Raw genomic sequence first — 16,192 nt, forward strand, 5'->3', positions numbered from 1 at the left:
GGCTCAAGTAATCCTCCCACCTCAGCCTCCCGAAGTGCTGGGATTACAGGCATGCACCACCGTGCCCAGCCAACAAAGCATTATTAATGACTGTCCCTAGGCTCAGATATATTTTCCTCTGGGCTCATATAAATTGCCTGCTGAGTTTTGAAAACAGAAATAGTTCTCAGAGCAGGAGAACTGGAATCCAGAGTTCAACTGGGCCGCTATTGAGGAGCTTTCTCATCCTCTCTCATGATCCTGTGTGTCCTTACAATAAAGTTCTCTTCATTCAAATAAAACATAATCTCAAGTGTGGTGATTTCTGAATACTGGGATTGTGGGTAATTTTTTCTCTTCTTTCCTTTCAATTTTCTGAACTTTTATAGATATAATCTACTTTGTAATAAGAAAAATATATATATAATAATTTAGGAAATTTTAGTTTTAGTTCTCATATTATAAAAAAGAACTCAACTATCATGTTACCTTGAAGAAAACTATGGTGAATTGTCCTCCTTTGCTAATAAGATCCACAAGATAGCGTTCAACCAGATAGAAGAAATGGAGGTTCTGCCCAGGCTTAAATGATATCTCACAGATACATGTGATAAGTAATGAATCCCCATCAATCAAAAAAAATTCAGATTCAACAAAATCATTGAATAAACTGGAATATCTAAAATGAAAAACAGTTAAAACAAAAATCACATATGCATTAAATCATGTTCCAAAAAGGCATCGTTCTTATTAGCTCATTATCATTATCATCAATAGCTAAATTTGCTGAGTTGTCTCATGGCAGTGTCTACACTAAGGCTTTTCAAACATATCTACATTCACAACTATCCTTCACAGGAGGAAGGCGGGATTATTCACATCTTAGGCTCAGAGAGCAAAGTATCCAAAGCCATGTGGCACAGCCTGATAGGACCATGAATATAGTACTTGTACCCTGCATATAAACCTAAATTATATATATTTTATGCTTAATCAACCTCAGCCCCTTACAAGTGGATTCACTGATGGCTATTGACAAATTAAGCAAGAGGAAACTGTTTCCATTCACTGTCATATAGCTCTAAAAGTGCTGTGTTGAACAATCATATATACATATATATAATAGTGTACATAGTTCTATATACTGTTATATATAATATTCTATACTATATATAGATATATATTATATATGTATATATATTATACATAGATACACACCAATATAAATACTGATACATAGATATATACTGATAAATGTATACTATATATTCAATAAATATATTAGAAAAATTTGTGAAAATTTGTGACTATTTGAAAAAACTCTCAAACCGTGCAGCCTACAAATATGAAAAAAATTTTAAGTTACCTATGTCACGAATGCATAAAGTATATGTAGTCTATTTTAGCATTTACTGCCATAAAATATACACAGATCTATTGTAAAAGTTAAAAATTATCTAAACTTATGCACGCACTTATAGACTACACATGGCAGCTTTCAGAGTTGAGAGAAGTGTAAACAAATGTTATGCTGCACTATTAAATCATAACTGCATAAAATTAACTCTAGTACATACTGTACTACTGTAATAACTTTGTAGCCACTTCTTGTTGTATGGTGGTAAGTTAGCAGTTCCTCTCCAGTAAACTGCTCTCCAAACACAATAAAAAGTGATCTCTCATGGTTCTTGCGTATTTTTCCATCATGTTTATTGCAATATCATAAACCCTAAATAAAACCATGGAACCCATATGAAGTGCCATTAGTGATGCCAGAAGTGTTCCCAAAAAGCAGAGAAAGTCATGACATTACAAGAAAAAGTTGAATTGCCTGATGTGTGTCATAGATTGATGCTTGCAGCTATAGTTGCCCACCACTTCCAGATAAATAAACCTAACGTAAGGACCATTGTAAAAAAATTTTTTTAAAGAAATGAGTGAAGGCATTGTTGCAGCAGTCATAAAAATCTTGCATTTTTTGTGAAAGGCTTTTTTTTTAATCTCACATTGAAAATAGAGCTTTTATGTGGGTGTGGGATTATCTAAAAAGGCAAATTTATAGACTCTAATATGATTCAAGAAAAAGCAAAGTATATGACAAAGCAAAAGGAAGACGAAATATCTAAAACTGGAAAATCTAATGCCAGCACAATATGGTTTGATAATTTTGGAAAGAAGTTTGGCTTTAAAAATGTCAAGATAACAAGAGAAGCAGTTTCAGCCAGCTAAGAGACAGAAGAAAATCATTGAGGGGAAAGAATATCTGCTTGAATAGGTTTTTAATGCAAATGAAATTATTCTGGAAAAAAAGTCACAAATAATATTTATTAGTACAAAACAAAAGTGAGCACCAGGATTTAGAGCAGGAAGGGATAAGCTAACTCTACTGTATTGTGTAAAGGCTGTTGGTTTTATCTTCAGGCCTGTCTTTATCTGTAAAGCTGCCAACTCCTGAGACTCGAAGGGAAAAGATAAACACCAGCTGCCAGTCTCTCAGATGTACAACAAAAAGTCCTGGACAATGAGGACACATTTTCCGAATTAGTTAAATTGATACTTTGTCCCTGAAATCAGGAAGTACCTTGCCAGTGAGGGAGACTGCTTTTCAAAGTACTTTTGATATTGGACAATGTCCCTGGCCACCTAGAACTCCATGAGTTCAACACAACGATGCTGAAGTGGTCTACTCGCCCCCAAACAAAATGTCTTTAATTCAGCCTTTAGATCAGAGTGTCATAAGAACCTTTAAGGCTCATTACACACAGTAATCTATGGAAAGAATTGTCAATGCTATGGAAGAGAACCCTGATAGACAGAACATCATGGAAGTCTGGGGGGATGGCACCATTGAAGATGTCACTATTGTTATGATCCACTCCCACTTAATAAATACATTTTTGCTTCCTTATGATTTTCTTAATTTTCTATACTAAGACCAGAGAAACAAGAGGGCAGGCAAGCCTTTGAAGGCATGTTTTGGGATTTTCTCTTCATCCCAGAATCAAATATTAGCCATTGAAGAATTTTAAGCAGGTGGCATTACGATGGGCTTTGCATTTGGAAAAGACTAGTCCAGCTACAAGATAGACAATAGATAGGATGGGTGCAAACTTCTTGGTAGAGCAGAGAGAAAGCTATTGCAGTTAAGTTTTGGAGGAGTAAAAAGTTAAACACCATCCTTTTGTAGTTCATAAATGTGATGATTGGGTTTTCATGTGTATGTGTTGGATGTGCCCTACTCAATCCTTGTTACAAAGTTATCTCATTATCCGGCTGGCATGAATTTAGAAAAAATATATAAAAATTAATTAACAATAATTTTTAAAAAGTTAAACATGGATTCTCAACTGCATAGTTGTTCAGTGCCCTTAGCCCCTACATTGTTCAATGGTCAACTGTCTATAAATCAGCATAAGGCCAAATAGACATACAGGGAACATGAGCTATGATTTCCCGTCTTTATTACTATAATAATACTCACTCAGCTTTTGGCATTTCATTCAAAATTAACTGGGACATTTCCTGTGAAAATGTTGTAAGAACATTTCTTTCTAAATTTAAAAAAAAAGAGAGAAAGAGAATGGGTTATTTTTCAATTGGTCCTTTTTACAGGAGCTATCATTTAGTTATTATTCAAGAAAGTAAAACAGTAATGTGGTTATTTTAATTCCATTAAATCTATGTAGTTTACAGGGTAACATTGTTTTATAATCTATAAATATTTTAAGTGGAAAATTACCCATTCTTGCTGCTGCCTGTGCCTCCAACCTGAACTGGCAAGTATTAAAGGTAGCAAATACCCTTTATTTTGGTACCTCTAAGTGGCAGTTCTTAATGAAAATGGCAGTCCTGCAAAAAAAGAAAAGAAAATGAGTCTTTATTCAACAAACATGTATTGAATGACTACTATATGTAAAGCAAAATATTAGACACAAGGAATACAAGAATGAACAAATCAACATTGCTGACAGTTCTCACAGAGCTTAAAGATAATTATTAATCAGATAATCATAGAAACAATGGAACATTGCAAAAACGACAAAGTCAAGAGGTCAGAGGAAGTTTCCCTAAAGAAATAATGCTTGAGCTGAGTTCTAAGAAATAAACAATAATTAATTAGGCAAAAAGAGAAAAAGTAGCATTTCTGGCAGAGGAAATACCAGAATACCATGTGTAAAAGCTCAGTGGCGTGAAGGGTTGTGGGTGACATTGATTCCAGAAAGAAGCCAGTAGGGCTGGAGTGGAGACCATCAAAGAAAAGACTAGAGAGGACAAGAGAAATAGAAGGACATGCAGAGCCTTTGAAGTCATGTTATAGAATTTTCTTTTCGTCCTAGAATGAAAAGTTAGCCACTGATGGATTTTAAGCAGGTGGTATTGTGATTGGCTTTGCACTTTGAAAAGATTAGTCCAGCTACAATATAGAGAATAAACAGGATGGGAGTAAGCTTCTTAGTAGAGCAGAAAGAAAGTTACTGTGCAGGAGAGTAATGATGATAATTTGATGTAATATAGTTTGATGGTAGCTGAGATAATAAAGCTGGAGAGATGTGGACTCACTTGAAGGACATTTAGGAGATGAGCTTGACATAATTTGGAACTGGACTGGATGTGGATGGACAAGAGAGGAAAGGGGGTTGTCAAGGATGACACAAGTTTCTAGCTCAAGTAACAGGATGGATGACTAGGCCATTCCCTGGGCTGGGAATTTTAGAACAAGGCTACGTGTCAGGAAAAGATTATGGCGGCATTTGTGAACCACCTGAATTTGACTTGCTTTCAAGATTCCCCATAAGCCATGATATGTAAGTAGTAAAATATACAAGTCTAGAGGACAAATACAAAGTCTGGACTAGATTTGAAGAGGTAAGTCATCTGAGTATTAACGGTAAATGAGGCCATTGGTGTAGATGAGCTTGCTTGGACAGGGAGAGACAGCATCATGGGAGAAGAGTACTAAAAACCCACATTTGAAGATACTAATACTTAATATATCAAGAGAGGAGGAAGAATCCACAAAGGTAATAGAGAAGAAAATACTAAAGAGGTAGATGAAAATGCACTTGAGCATTTTGTCATGGACACTAAATATTGAGACACTTGCCATTCAATATGTTAGGGCTATGAAACAGATAGGTAGATACACACATGATTTATGGATAGATAGTAGATAGATTGATTGATATAGATAGATATAGATGATGGATACACAGATAGATAGATAGATAGATATGATAGAGAGAGAGAGATTCCTATTCCATGATAGTAAGGAACATATAATGGTGATGCACATGCTGATATTAAATATTACAATAATAATGCAAGGAAGTATATGACTGTAATGACAAATAAGTTTAAAGAAAAATGGAATTACTGTGGGCTGGGGAGTTTAGGGACCCTTAATGGAGACACGAGCGTAAGTATGGTCTCTCACTCACTCAGTTACTATCTTATTTCAAAGATTATAGAGTATCTACACTTTACAAAACATTGTACTTGCTGAAACATATGCAAATATGCATGAAGCATGATTCTCTCCTTGTACAACCCAGTGTAAGTTGAAAGATAACTAAGTGACACACTACATCTAATTTGCTGTGTTCTAGCAGAAATGGCACAGGAAGCCATTAGAGAATTGAGAGGGAGTTCCTAAATCAGAATGAAGGGATCAGGGTCCTGTGTTCTGAGGTTTCAAGAACAGGTTGAAAAGATGATGAAGACTTATGAAAGCATGTTGGGGAAAGTGAGAGATATAGAGAATTACTTTTCAGGTAGCAAAATCAGCATCAGTTTAATGCATAAAGTTGTGAAACTACATGACAAGTTTGAGATCCTATGGGTTGTTCTACATGGCATAGGACAGGGTGACTCATTGGAGATGACATTGGAAAGGTAGGTTAGAACCAGACTATAATGGGTCTTGTGCCCAGGTCAGGAGATTAGGTATTTTCAAAAAACTCTCTGTCACCCATTTCATGCAATCCTCCACCTCACTAACTGTGCATTGGCCATACTATCTTTCTTCAACTCTCCAAATTGTACCAAGCTCAAATGGAAAAAAATGGGTCAGTGAGAACTGAACAGGCAAGAGAGAATTAACCCCAAGTATATTACAGAAAACTTCAGAAAGGATAGCATCAGATTCTACAAGATGAAATAAGTTAATTTACAGGTTCCCAGATGTTCACGATGCTCTTAGAGTCTCAGGAATTTTTTTATGCCACTCCTAGGACAAAATCAATAGCTAACCGTTTCATTTATTAAGTAGTTAGATACAAACAAATTAATAACTATTTATGTCCTGACAACTTAGAAATTGTTTTAAGAAATAATATACATAGATTAAAAGGAATAATATAGTTTTTATAATGAAATATAACTATGACTGAGACGTGAGTGCCCGTTAAACACTGTGAAACTTTCAGCAATAGCTATGGTGACAAAATAAAACTGCGTTAATGGGCAATCCCTCCTTAATTTGACAATCAAGGGATTCCGTAGCCTGCCTATGGGAAGTTTGAGATCCTACAGGTTGCTCTGCATGACATAGGACAGGGTATGCAAGACAATGCGTGTAAAGCCTAATAGGCTTTCCTCTTACATGCCCTATACTAAAGTAGGCTTACACACCCTAGGCTTTCCTCTTATATACCCTATACTAGAGCTACCCTATTAACCTCTGCCCCAACACATGCACGCCCTAACACCTAAACAGAATTCACAGTCATTATCCCCACTTCTCTGTCATTTAAGGGAGAGACATGCTAGAGATCCAGCCACCTGTAGTAACTAATGATTGAACACTCACACACACACACACACACACAAATTAGTACCAATAGACATTTGAGGCACACAAAAAAAGCAAAAATAAGAAACCAGATGAATAAGCATGATGCAGAGACAGAAAAGACCTTCAAAATTTTCTAATTACTGCTTTCAAAGAATTAAAAATATTTCTCATAAAATAGTAACAGGCTGCTAGAGAGAGAGAAAGAGAAAAAGAAAGCATGCAAGTATTCGTACACATTTAAAACATAATTTTACAAGGAAGAAAGTCATTGCAGAACAATAAAATGAGCATGCTGGAATTTTTAGTCAGTGATCTGTAGGGTTAAAGTCCAGGAAATTTTGTAAAGGATAAAAGTAAAAGACAAAGAGATGAAAAAATTCTAAAAATACTAAAATATCCAGGAATAAGTCAATAAGCTCTTTCTCCCCCTACTAATATTTCTAGTAGGAGATAACTAAGATTCCAAAATGAGTGGGGATAAAAATAATCAAAGATATATACTTAAACTAATATACTAATATTAGACTAGAACTAAAGAACAACATAATGTGTTTAGATTGAAATGTTTCTCTAACTACTGAGTAGAAATAATGACAAAAGAGAAAACTACGCCTAGGCACAACTTGTTAAAATTGCAGAGCTCCAAGAATAAAGAGAAAGACAGAAAAGGTACAAAGAAATGGAAGTCAGGCCATATGAGAACTGGTTTAAGAAATGAACACTGTTGGCCGACTACTTGCATTTTAATCTTGGTTCTGAAATATACTATAGTTCTATAAGCTTAGACAAGGTATTTACCATCTCTGAGTTTCAATTTACTTATCTATAAAATTGGAACAATAATATTACTCACCTCTGATTGTGTTTTCAAGCTACTTAAATGTATGAACTGATGGATACGAATTGATTAAAATAATACCTGGCACACAGAATTAATTAAAATAAGCAACATTCCTGGATGTTTTGATAAAATAAAGCACTTTCAGATTTCTAAAGGGAAAATAATTTGAACTTAGAATTCTGCATCTAAATAGTGATTCAATTCATGGAGGAGGCAAAAAGATGTAATTAGACTTCTAAGAAGTCATAAATTTCACCAACCATATATCCTTTTTTTATTTTAAGTTCTGAAATACATGTGCAGAACATGCAGGTTTGTTACATAGATATACATGTGCCATGGTGGTTTGCTGCACCTATCAACCCGTCATCCAGGTTTTAAGCACCTCATGCATTAGGTATTTGACCTAATGCTCTCCCTCCCTTTGCCCCCAACCCTCCGACAAGCCCCAGTGTGTGAGGTTCCCCTCCCTGTGTCCATGTGCTCTCATTGTTCCACTCCCACTTATGAGTGAGAACATGTGGTGTTTGGTTTTCTGTTCCTGTGTTAGTTTGCTGAGAATGATGGCTTCCAGCTTTATTCATGTCCCTGCAAAGGACACGAACTCATTCTTTTTTATGGCTGCATAGTGTTCCATGGGGTATATGTGCCACATTTTCTTTATCCAGCCTATCATTAATGGGTATTTGGGTTGGTTCCAAGTCTTTGCTATTGTAAATAGTGCTGCAATCAACATACATGTGCATGTGTCTTTACAGTAGAATGATTTATAATCCTTTGGGTATATACCCAGTAATGGGATTGCTGGGTCGAATAGTATTTCTGGTTCTAGATCCTTGAGGAATGGCCACGCTGTCTTCCAAAATGCCAACTATATATCTTAAATGATAATTTTATTTAAAGAGATAATACAGAAAATTGGGGAAAACCCATCAAGAATGAAGACAATCAAAAAACCATGAAACTTTGTGTGATTTAGAAAAGTTAAAGGAAGCTATAAAGAAAAACAAGAGAACCCATGGTACTTCGAATTTACAAAAGTCTATTTCAAACAGTAATTTTAACAACATAGAACTACATGTCTTAGCCTAGCAATTCCTAGATTGCTTCTACACTGAGTAATGTGTACATACTCATAATTTTGTCACTGCTGTTTACTTCTTTTTTACTGTTGACTCAACATACAAACAAATCACAAGAATCAAAGTCACAAACTGCTGTAAAATATGATAAACCTTGACAGTATGAAAATAATAATATAATTAACCAACTTGGCAGTTCACAAAGGGATGAATGAAAGAAAAATAAATATGAATGCTAAATTCTTCATCTTTCACAGCAGGATGTCCAGCAATAGCATCTGAAGACAATATATGAAAAAAAATAATGGTTTATGGAATCAAGAAATTATCCTGCTTTTCTTCTAAGTACTGCACCATCGCATTACCAAAGAGTAGATACAAGAGTGATTCATTTCTAGAAATAATGCAGCTAATAAACACAGAAGGAATGATAGAATTAGAATATCACCATTTTACAACTCCTAATGAATTAACAGATCTTGGTATTTTTAAACGATAGCACAACAAAAATAGAGGCAAGTGTCCACACCATCAGTGAAGTATTGTAGTTCTCCCAGCCAAAAAAAAAAGAAACCCAAAACTTGGGAGGCCAAGGCGGGCAGATCACCTGAGGTCGGGAGTTCGAGACCAGACTGGCCAACATGGTGAAACCCCATCTCTACTAAAAATGCAAACATTAGCTGGGCATGGTGACAGTCACCTGTAATCCCAGCTACTTGGGAGGCTGAGGTAGAAGAATCGCTTGAACCTGGGAGGCAGAGGTTGCAGTGAACTGAGATCAAGCCACTGCATTCCAGCCTGGGCAAAAGAGCAAGACTCCGTCTCAAAAAAAAAAAAAAAAAAAGAAGAAGAAGAAAAAAAAGAAAACCTGAATCTGATCAAAACGCTAGTAGTAATGATTAATTTACAAGAAATTTAGAGGCCAGCAAAATATGTTAAATGACACCACAGGGATTAGGACACATACACACACACACACATAAACACACACCCAACAGGACACACACATACAAAAACAAACAATCATAAGACCACAAATCTTACAAACGAATAAATTAAAAGGGGATGAAAGAAATTGCAAGAACCTTATAAGGCTTATCCTCCAATCACAGTAGTGTCAGAACCATATTCTGATTCAAACAATCTTAAAAAGGAAGAAGAAAAGAAGAAGGGAGGAAGAGAAATGGAAAAGAGAAAAAAGGAGGGAAGAGGAAAGGCGCAAAGGGGAGGTAAAGAGGAAAAAAATGGGGGCAAGGGAAGGGAAAGGAAATCATGGATTCTGTATTGGAACAGAATGGTGGAGCTACTTGATGAAAGGCATCAAGCTCCTGAAACCCTGCCTGGAGAAGAGCTGGTGGGTTAAAATGGCTTCCAGTACCCGGTATAACCCTCTCCCCTTGAGTGTGGACAGGACCTGTGAATTTAATGGCATAGTCTCTTTAATGATTCGGTTATATTATGTAAGACTTCATCATAGTAGACTCGGGAGATTCCCCCAAAGAGGCTTATACCTTCTTTAAAGGTACCCTATACCTTCTTTAACGGTATAAGCCACCTTGTTGTGAGAAGGCCACTGTAGCTAAGATCTCAGGGTGAAATCTAAAGACATGGGAACCCCCAGCCAACAGCCAGCAAGAAAGCAGGTAACCTCAGTCCTTTAGCTGCAAGAAACTGAATTCTTCCAACAACCTGAATGAGCATCCATGGTGTCCCATGAGGCCACAGCTCTGACACCTTGATTTCAGCTCGATGAGATGCTGAACAGAGAACTCACTTTACCCATGCCTGGGCTTCTGATCCACAGCAATTGTAAAATAATAAACTTGTAATGTTTTAAGCCACTATACCTGCCCCTTGACCAGGAATAAATTAAGTTACTGGAGTAGGAAATAAATTTCTATTGTCTTAAGCCACTGAAATTTAAGGGTGCACAGAAATTACCTGGGGGAATCTTATTAATAAACGCAGATTCTGATTCTACAAGTCTGGAGCAGGGATTGAAGGTGGAAGCTTCTTGCTGCTGTCAATGTACAGGTTTTACTGGCTGTGCTTAGATATGATGTCCCTTAATTTCTCCTCAACCTCCATTACCCAGCTCCCACCTTTGACGGGGACTCCTTAAATGCCTAACTAAGCACTCCTCTCTGTCTCAGACTTCAGGCCTTTCGCGGTTGTCCCTTTCCTCCGCCCCTCCCCACGCCCGGCCTTCCGGGCCAGCAGGGGGCCCGTGCGCCACGGCCTTGCGATCCCAGGAGGTTCCCCAGATTCCCGCGCCCCGAGCCCAGCACTCCTGGGCCACCTCCCTGTCCGGTCCGTTGAAGAAGACCTAGAACTCCCGCTAGACAGCTCCGCCCCAGGCTCTTCCCAAGGGACATCCCCGGCTCCTCACCGCGGACTCAGGACCGGTGGTGTCCAAAGACCCGCGAGCTGCGCGCCCCGCGGGGAGGGAGTGAAACAGAGACCTAGCGCAGAGCCCAGGTGGAAGTTCCAGGTTACCCCAGACCTGGCCTAGGACTCGGCGCTCTGAGCCACCGCAGCCAGTCTTTTATGCATCCGGCGGGAGTTTCGGTTTCCTTTCTCCTCTCAGAAGCACTTAGGTTTCAGTTTCCCTTCAGCACGAATTAGGCGAGGCACTTTCGTGGAAAGTTTAGCATCCTTCCCTTCAATCAGAATCTTAAGAAGGGGAGCATGGCGAGACGTTAGTTAAAAGGTATGAAGTTACAATAGCTAGGAAGAACCAGTTCTGGTATTCTATTCTGCAGTAGGGTGTGTATAGTTAACAATAATGCATATTTCAAAATAGCTAGAAGAGAGAATTTTGAATATTCTCATCACAAAGAAATAGTAAAGTTTTGAGGTAATAGATGGGCTAATTATCCTGATTTGATCATCACACAATGTATACATGTATTGAAACGTCACATTGTACCCCAAAAATATATACAATTATTATGCGTCAATTAAAAATAAAATGAAACTAAAAAAAACCTTAAAAGAGAGAGACAAAGGCAATAAAAATGGGCTTTGGAATTTGGGCATAAATATAGAGTAAATTGAGGCAGAAAAATTTGTAACATCTAAACAAGATAAAATCAAGAAGAGTTAGAATTTAGAAATTGATAAAATGTAAAAGACACTGTGGAATCTGAAACCCCACAATGAAATTGGAGATCTTGCTGCTTCTACTTGTATGCAAAAAGAAAAAAGAAAGTATGTAACAATACATGAACTTTGAGTTTCTGTTATGAGAAGCTGATGATTACTGTTCTGTATAAACTGTAATTGGTACTTTCATGGGCCAAGAATCAACATTAAAAAATAAATTGAAAATGCAGAATGGTCACATTTATTTGTGCCTCAAATTGATGAAATGTTCTCTTAATTTTTGCCTGTTGATACTTGCAGTGTGGGTTTCGATACTCATCTCCTTTCCTTTCAGTGCCCTCGTATGCTTGATTTCATTAATGCTATAAATATGCATTCATATATTGGAAATAGAAGAGGGTGTGGAGGAAAGACAGCAGTGAATTTGGGTAATCAGCATGATAAGAAGCCACAGGCTGCTTTGTCTACAAGGAAAGGAAAGAGCCAAGGTCCAGGCACTGCTCCACAGGGAACACAGAACAGAGAGAGTAGTGAATGATACTTTGTCTTGTGAAAAATTAGAGAGTCAAGTTGTTAAAAGAGGGGGATATGGGGAAGGAGGACATTTCTCACATCCATCAGACAATTACTTGTTTATTCATTTGTTTAGAAATTCACGTGTTTGTTAGTGATGAGATTAAGAAAGAAAATAAAAGACTCTAGAATTTAACACATGATTGGTCTTAAATCAGCCAATATTCCTGTCTCCTTCACTGTGATCTCTGATGTACCTGCCTGGGGTAGGCTGAATAATACCCTGCACTCCTCCCTCCAAAAGAGGCCAAAATCCTAATTCCTGGAACCTATGAATACAGTAACTTTCATAGCAAAAGTAACTTTGCAAAATAGATTAAATAAGAATCTTTAGAAGAGGAGATTACCCCTTACCCGGGATTATCCAGGTGGGCCCAAGGTCATCAGAAGGGCCTTTATAAGAGGGAGACAGGAGTTCGAGGGGCAATGTGATGATAGAAACAGTCAGTGACAGAATGTGGGGACACTACACAGATGGCGTTGAAGACAGTGGAAGGGACCACGGGCCAAGGAGTCTGGTGGTCTCTAGAAACTACCAAAGGCAAGGAAACATTTTTTTTTTCTAGAGCCTCCAGAAATCAGCCCTGATAACACCTTGACTTCAGCCCAGAGAGACTGATTTTGAACCTCTGAGCTCAGAACTGTAAGAGAACAAACTTGTGTGGTATTAAGCCACTAAATTTGTGGTAATTTGTTACAGCAGCCATAGAGAACTAATACAATATTGCAAACTGTATTGTAGGAAATGAATAACATATTTGCAAACAGCAGAAATAATGGATTGTGTTATAACAAGAGGTAGAATTAATTCAGACAGCTACTATGTGCTAAGCAATATGCTAATACCATATCAATGATCACAGCAAGTTCATGAGGTGTGTACTATGATTTCTGTCATTCTGTAGATAAGAAAAATAAAGCTTCGAGGGATAAAACAGCTAATAAATTATACTAAGATTCAAAATGTGGTCTAACCCAATGGCCTATCTACAACATTCTCTATTACATAATTTCATCAAATGCTTCAAATTCTACAACTGAAAGTGTTTCAGCTAGTGGACAAATGATTTTTTTTTGCTTAAATTATAAAGTTTTTTAGAATATATGATGTTCTACAGTTGTTTCGACTTTCAGTGACCGGATTTATCAGGTGAGAGTTCAAGACAACTTTGACTCATCCTCTTCAATTTTCCACCCCAAAGTATGTAAACACACAGAAACTTTTTATTTTTTTTTTACTTTTTCACTTCAACAGCCTACTCCCATGACCACACCCTGGACTTTGTTCTGAAGCTTGATAGTCACGTACTTTATTTTTCCTTTTAGACCCCTCCCTTTATGCCCTACACTTTAACCTCTGAGGACTCCCAAATGTTTGTCCTATCAGGGTGAACTCCATGAGCCAACACTTCAACTCTCCTCTTAATTAACATGTTCAACTGCTTGAACCTACTGACTTTCCTCTACACTTGCCTATAATTTGTTAATCCTGATTAATTCAAGTTTTCTTTTCTTTTTGATACCTGGCCACCAAGGGGAATGACCCAGTTAGGATCTCATCAAATGTATTATTTAACAACACAGCTGATACCTTTTTTTCTGTTCCCCTCAGCCTTCTGCATATTTCACAATGACAGTTACAATTCAGCACTTTACCATTCTCAAGTCTTTTAAATGATAGACCATCTCTTCTGTTTTCAAGGAGAATTCTCTCCAGCTTTCTGATAACTCCATATTCCAGTCTCACACAGAGTTTAAGCAGAACACACAGCATGCCACTTACACACAACATAACTAGCCTTCTAGATCTGGGTTTGGATCTCCCCTCAAGCATCCTAGCCCATCATTCTTCAGTTTGTTGTGTATTTTAACATCTCTTTGTCAACTAAAACATAGTGTTCATTCCACTAATAGGTTCAATTAGAACCTATTCAATTCAATAGAACTCAATTCAATAGAATTCAATTCTAATTGAACCTATTGAATTGAATAGGTTCAATAGGTTCAAACTTCCATTTTCAAACAATAAGAAAAATGATGTCATGCCCGATTTCAGCCCTTCTCTTTTCAGCATGGTGCCCTGTAGTGGTCTTCATCCATTGGCTACACTTCTTCACCTCCCTTCAAATTTCTCAGGCCCATTAGCCTAAATCTGATCTGGAACTGCTCTGTCAAAGATATCCAATGAGGATCCACTAATTGACAAATCCAAACAATGCTTGTTTAGTCCCTGTTTGATTTACTTGCCTCTGTTCAGCATTAGAAAGATAGTTTGTACAGCCCCTCTCTTCTAAAGTGCCTCTTCTCCCTTGATTTCAGTTACAATCTTCTCCTTCAAATCAATTTCTTTTCCCACCTTCTCTGTAAGGATCAGCAGAATCATCACATAACTACTGCTCAAGTTAGAAACCTGGGAGCCATTGTTGCATCCTCACTTCCCTCAAATCCCAGTAAATTCCAACTCCAAACACTTACAGAATCTTGAGTCTCTTGACTCTTCCATTTTTCCAAAGGCTAGAGCAAGCCTCATCATTTCTCATCTGGATTATTGAAACAACCTTTTCACTTTCTAACTCCAGTCTGTCCCTCCAATTCATTTTCTACTCTGCTGCATTTTTTCAGCAGGTAAAACTGAGCACATCAAGACCCCATTAAAAAACACTTCAATATATGCTCATTGCTTCTAGATCAAACTTTCCTATCAATATTTCCTCTCTTCTTAGAACACTTCAAATAGTTTATTCACCTCCTCTTCTCTCCATTGGTGAGGGAATGATTCCCACCCTAGGGGAAAGGGATGGCCAGACTCATGGCACTTGACACGGAAGTTTGACAGCAGTTTATTAGTCACATGTCCTCCCAGCCAAGGGAGAAGGAAACTGTGTGCCACACAGGGCCACACCGGGATGGAACTCAGGAGCAAAGTGAAAAAGCAGGGACTATGGGAACCAGGGTCTGCAATTACCAAAGGATGGGGGGAAGCTCCCTGTTTCCCACAGGAGGATGTGATTGTTTGATTGAATAATTTTGCTGGCTGACTAGACAGTGAAATCCAAAAGTTAAGTGCAACTGGTAGGGCTGATAGAGAAAGAGCTAGGTGGGAAGGCTTTGGAGCTGGGTGCAGAGTATATCTGGTGAGAGCCCAGAACTACTGGTTAGGTCTCTGGGGCCCCAAGAGCCTCAAAGCAGCCTCAACTTTCACATGGAGCAAGCACATGAAATTTTCAGCCTTATGATACAATGCCTTTCTATCCACTTAAAATTTGATGATGTCTGAGACTTACTGAGAGTAGGAGGGCTTTCCTAGGAAGCAAATCAGGTATTTGACCAGGAGGGAGAGGATCAAATAGTGAGATGGAAATCAAGAACATAAAATTTAGAGGTGCCCCCATTATGACCAATAAAAACAATTGAGGGACTCCTGTGGCACTGGTATAGGGAGTGCGAGTCCCCAGCGGTTGTGAATTTACATTAATCAATGCATGCATGTAGCAGTGGTGACACCCATGAGGGCATCTATTTGCCACATTGTAACTTTAATAAGAGCTCTTTGAACTGCCTGTTAGGCCTCTTAAATTAAACTGACTGGTACCGATATATAGGCAAGGTGGAAGTTCCACTGAATGCTTTCTTCAAGAGCCCACTGTTATATATTCTGAGAAGTGAAATGCACCTTTCTCACATTCATTAATGTCTAGAACTCCAAAGGGGATAAGAAATGTCCTCGTGAGGGCTTGTATTATGGCCTTAGTATGTATAGAGGTATCTATTACCTTAATTTATATTTTGGGTATCAGTAAGAAAGGAGATTTCCAGAGT

The 16,192-nt window shown here is 37.8% G+C and overlaps 1 protein-coding gene and 1 non-coding gene across 8 annotated transcripts in view, besides 1 other annotated feature; one reads left to right on the forward strand and one right to left on the reverse strand.

Moving 5' to 3' along the window:
• The window catches only part of DDX60 (DExD/H-box helicase 60), a 109,686-nt gene that overhangs the window by 91,244 nt on the left and 2,250 nt on the right, over positions 1–16,192 (reverse strand). For 5 of the 7 annotated variants that reach the window (NM_017631.6, NM_001410861.1, XM_011532104.4 and 2 more), the window contains exons 1-4: positions 11,085–11,215; positions 3,719–3,828; positions 3,461–3,530; positions 469–658 (exon numbers count right to left, since the gene is read on the reverse strand). In NM_017631.6, coding sequence (NP_060101.3) covers positions 469–658; positions 3,461–3,530; positions 3,719–3,722 — 264 coding nt within the window. In that variant the 5' untranslated portion in view covers positions 3,723–3,828; positions 11,085–11,215. Of the gene's footprint in view, positions 1–468; positions 659–3,460; positions 3,531–3,718; positions 3,829–10,636; positions 11,216–16,192 lie in introns of those variants that run through there. The other 2 variants (XM_024454133.2, XM_024454132.2) reach the window with 2 other exon arrangements.
• LOC124900910 (small nucleolar RNA U13) lies at positions 3,155–3,258 on the forward strand. The gene has a single exon (XR_007058552.1). It is a non-coding gene; the product is annotated as a small nucleolar RNA U13 (small nucleolar RNA).
• Positions 11,149–11,478: an enhancer, noted in NCBI's record as "active region_22124". NCBI's record gives its function as "activates an Ori minimal core promoter by ATAC-STARR-seq in GM12878 lymphoblastoid cells {active_cell/tissue: GM12878}" and the evidence as "EXISTENCE:reporter gene assay evidence [ECO:0000049][PMID:35858748]".

This window comes from Homo sapiens, chromosome 4 (assembly GCF_000001405.40).
Source record: "Homo sapiens chromosome 4, GRCh38.p14 Primary Assembly".
Lineage (NCBI taxonomy): Eukaryota > Metazoa > Chordata > Mammalia > Primates > Hominidae > Homo > Homo sapiens.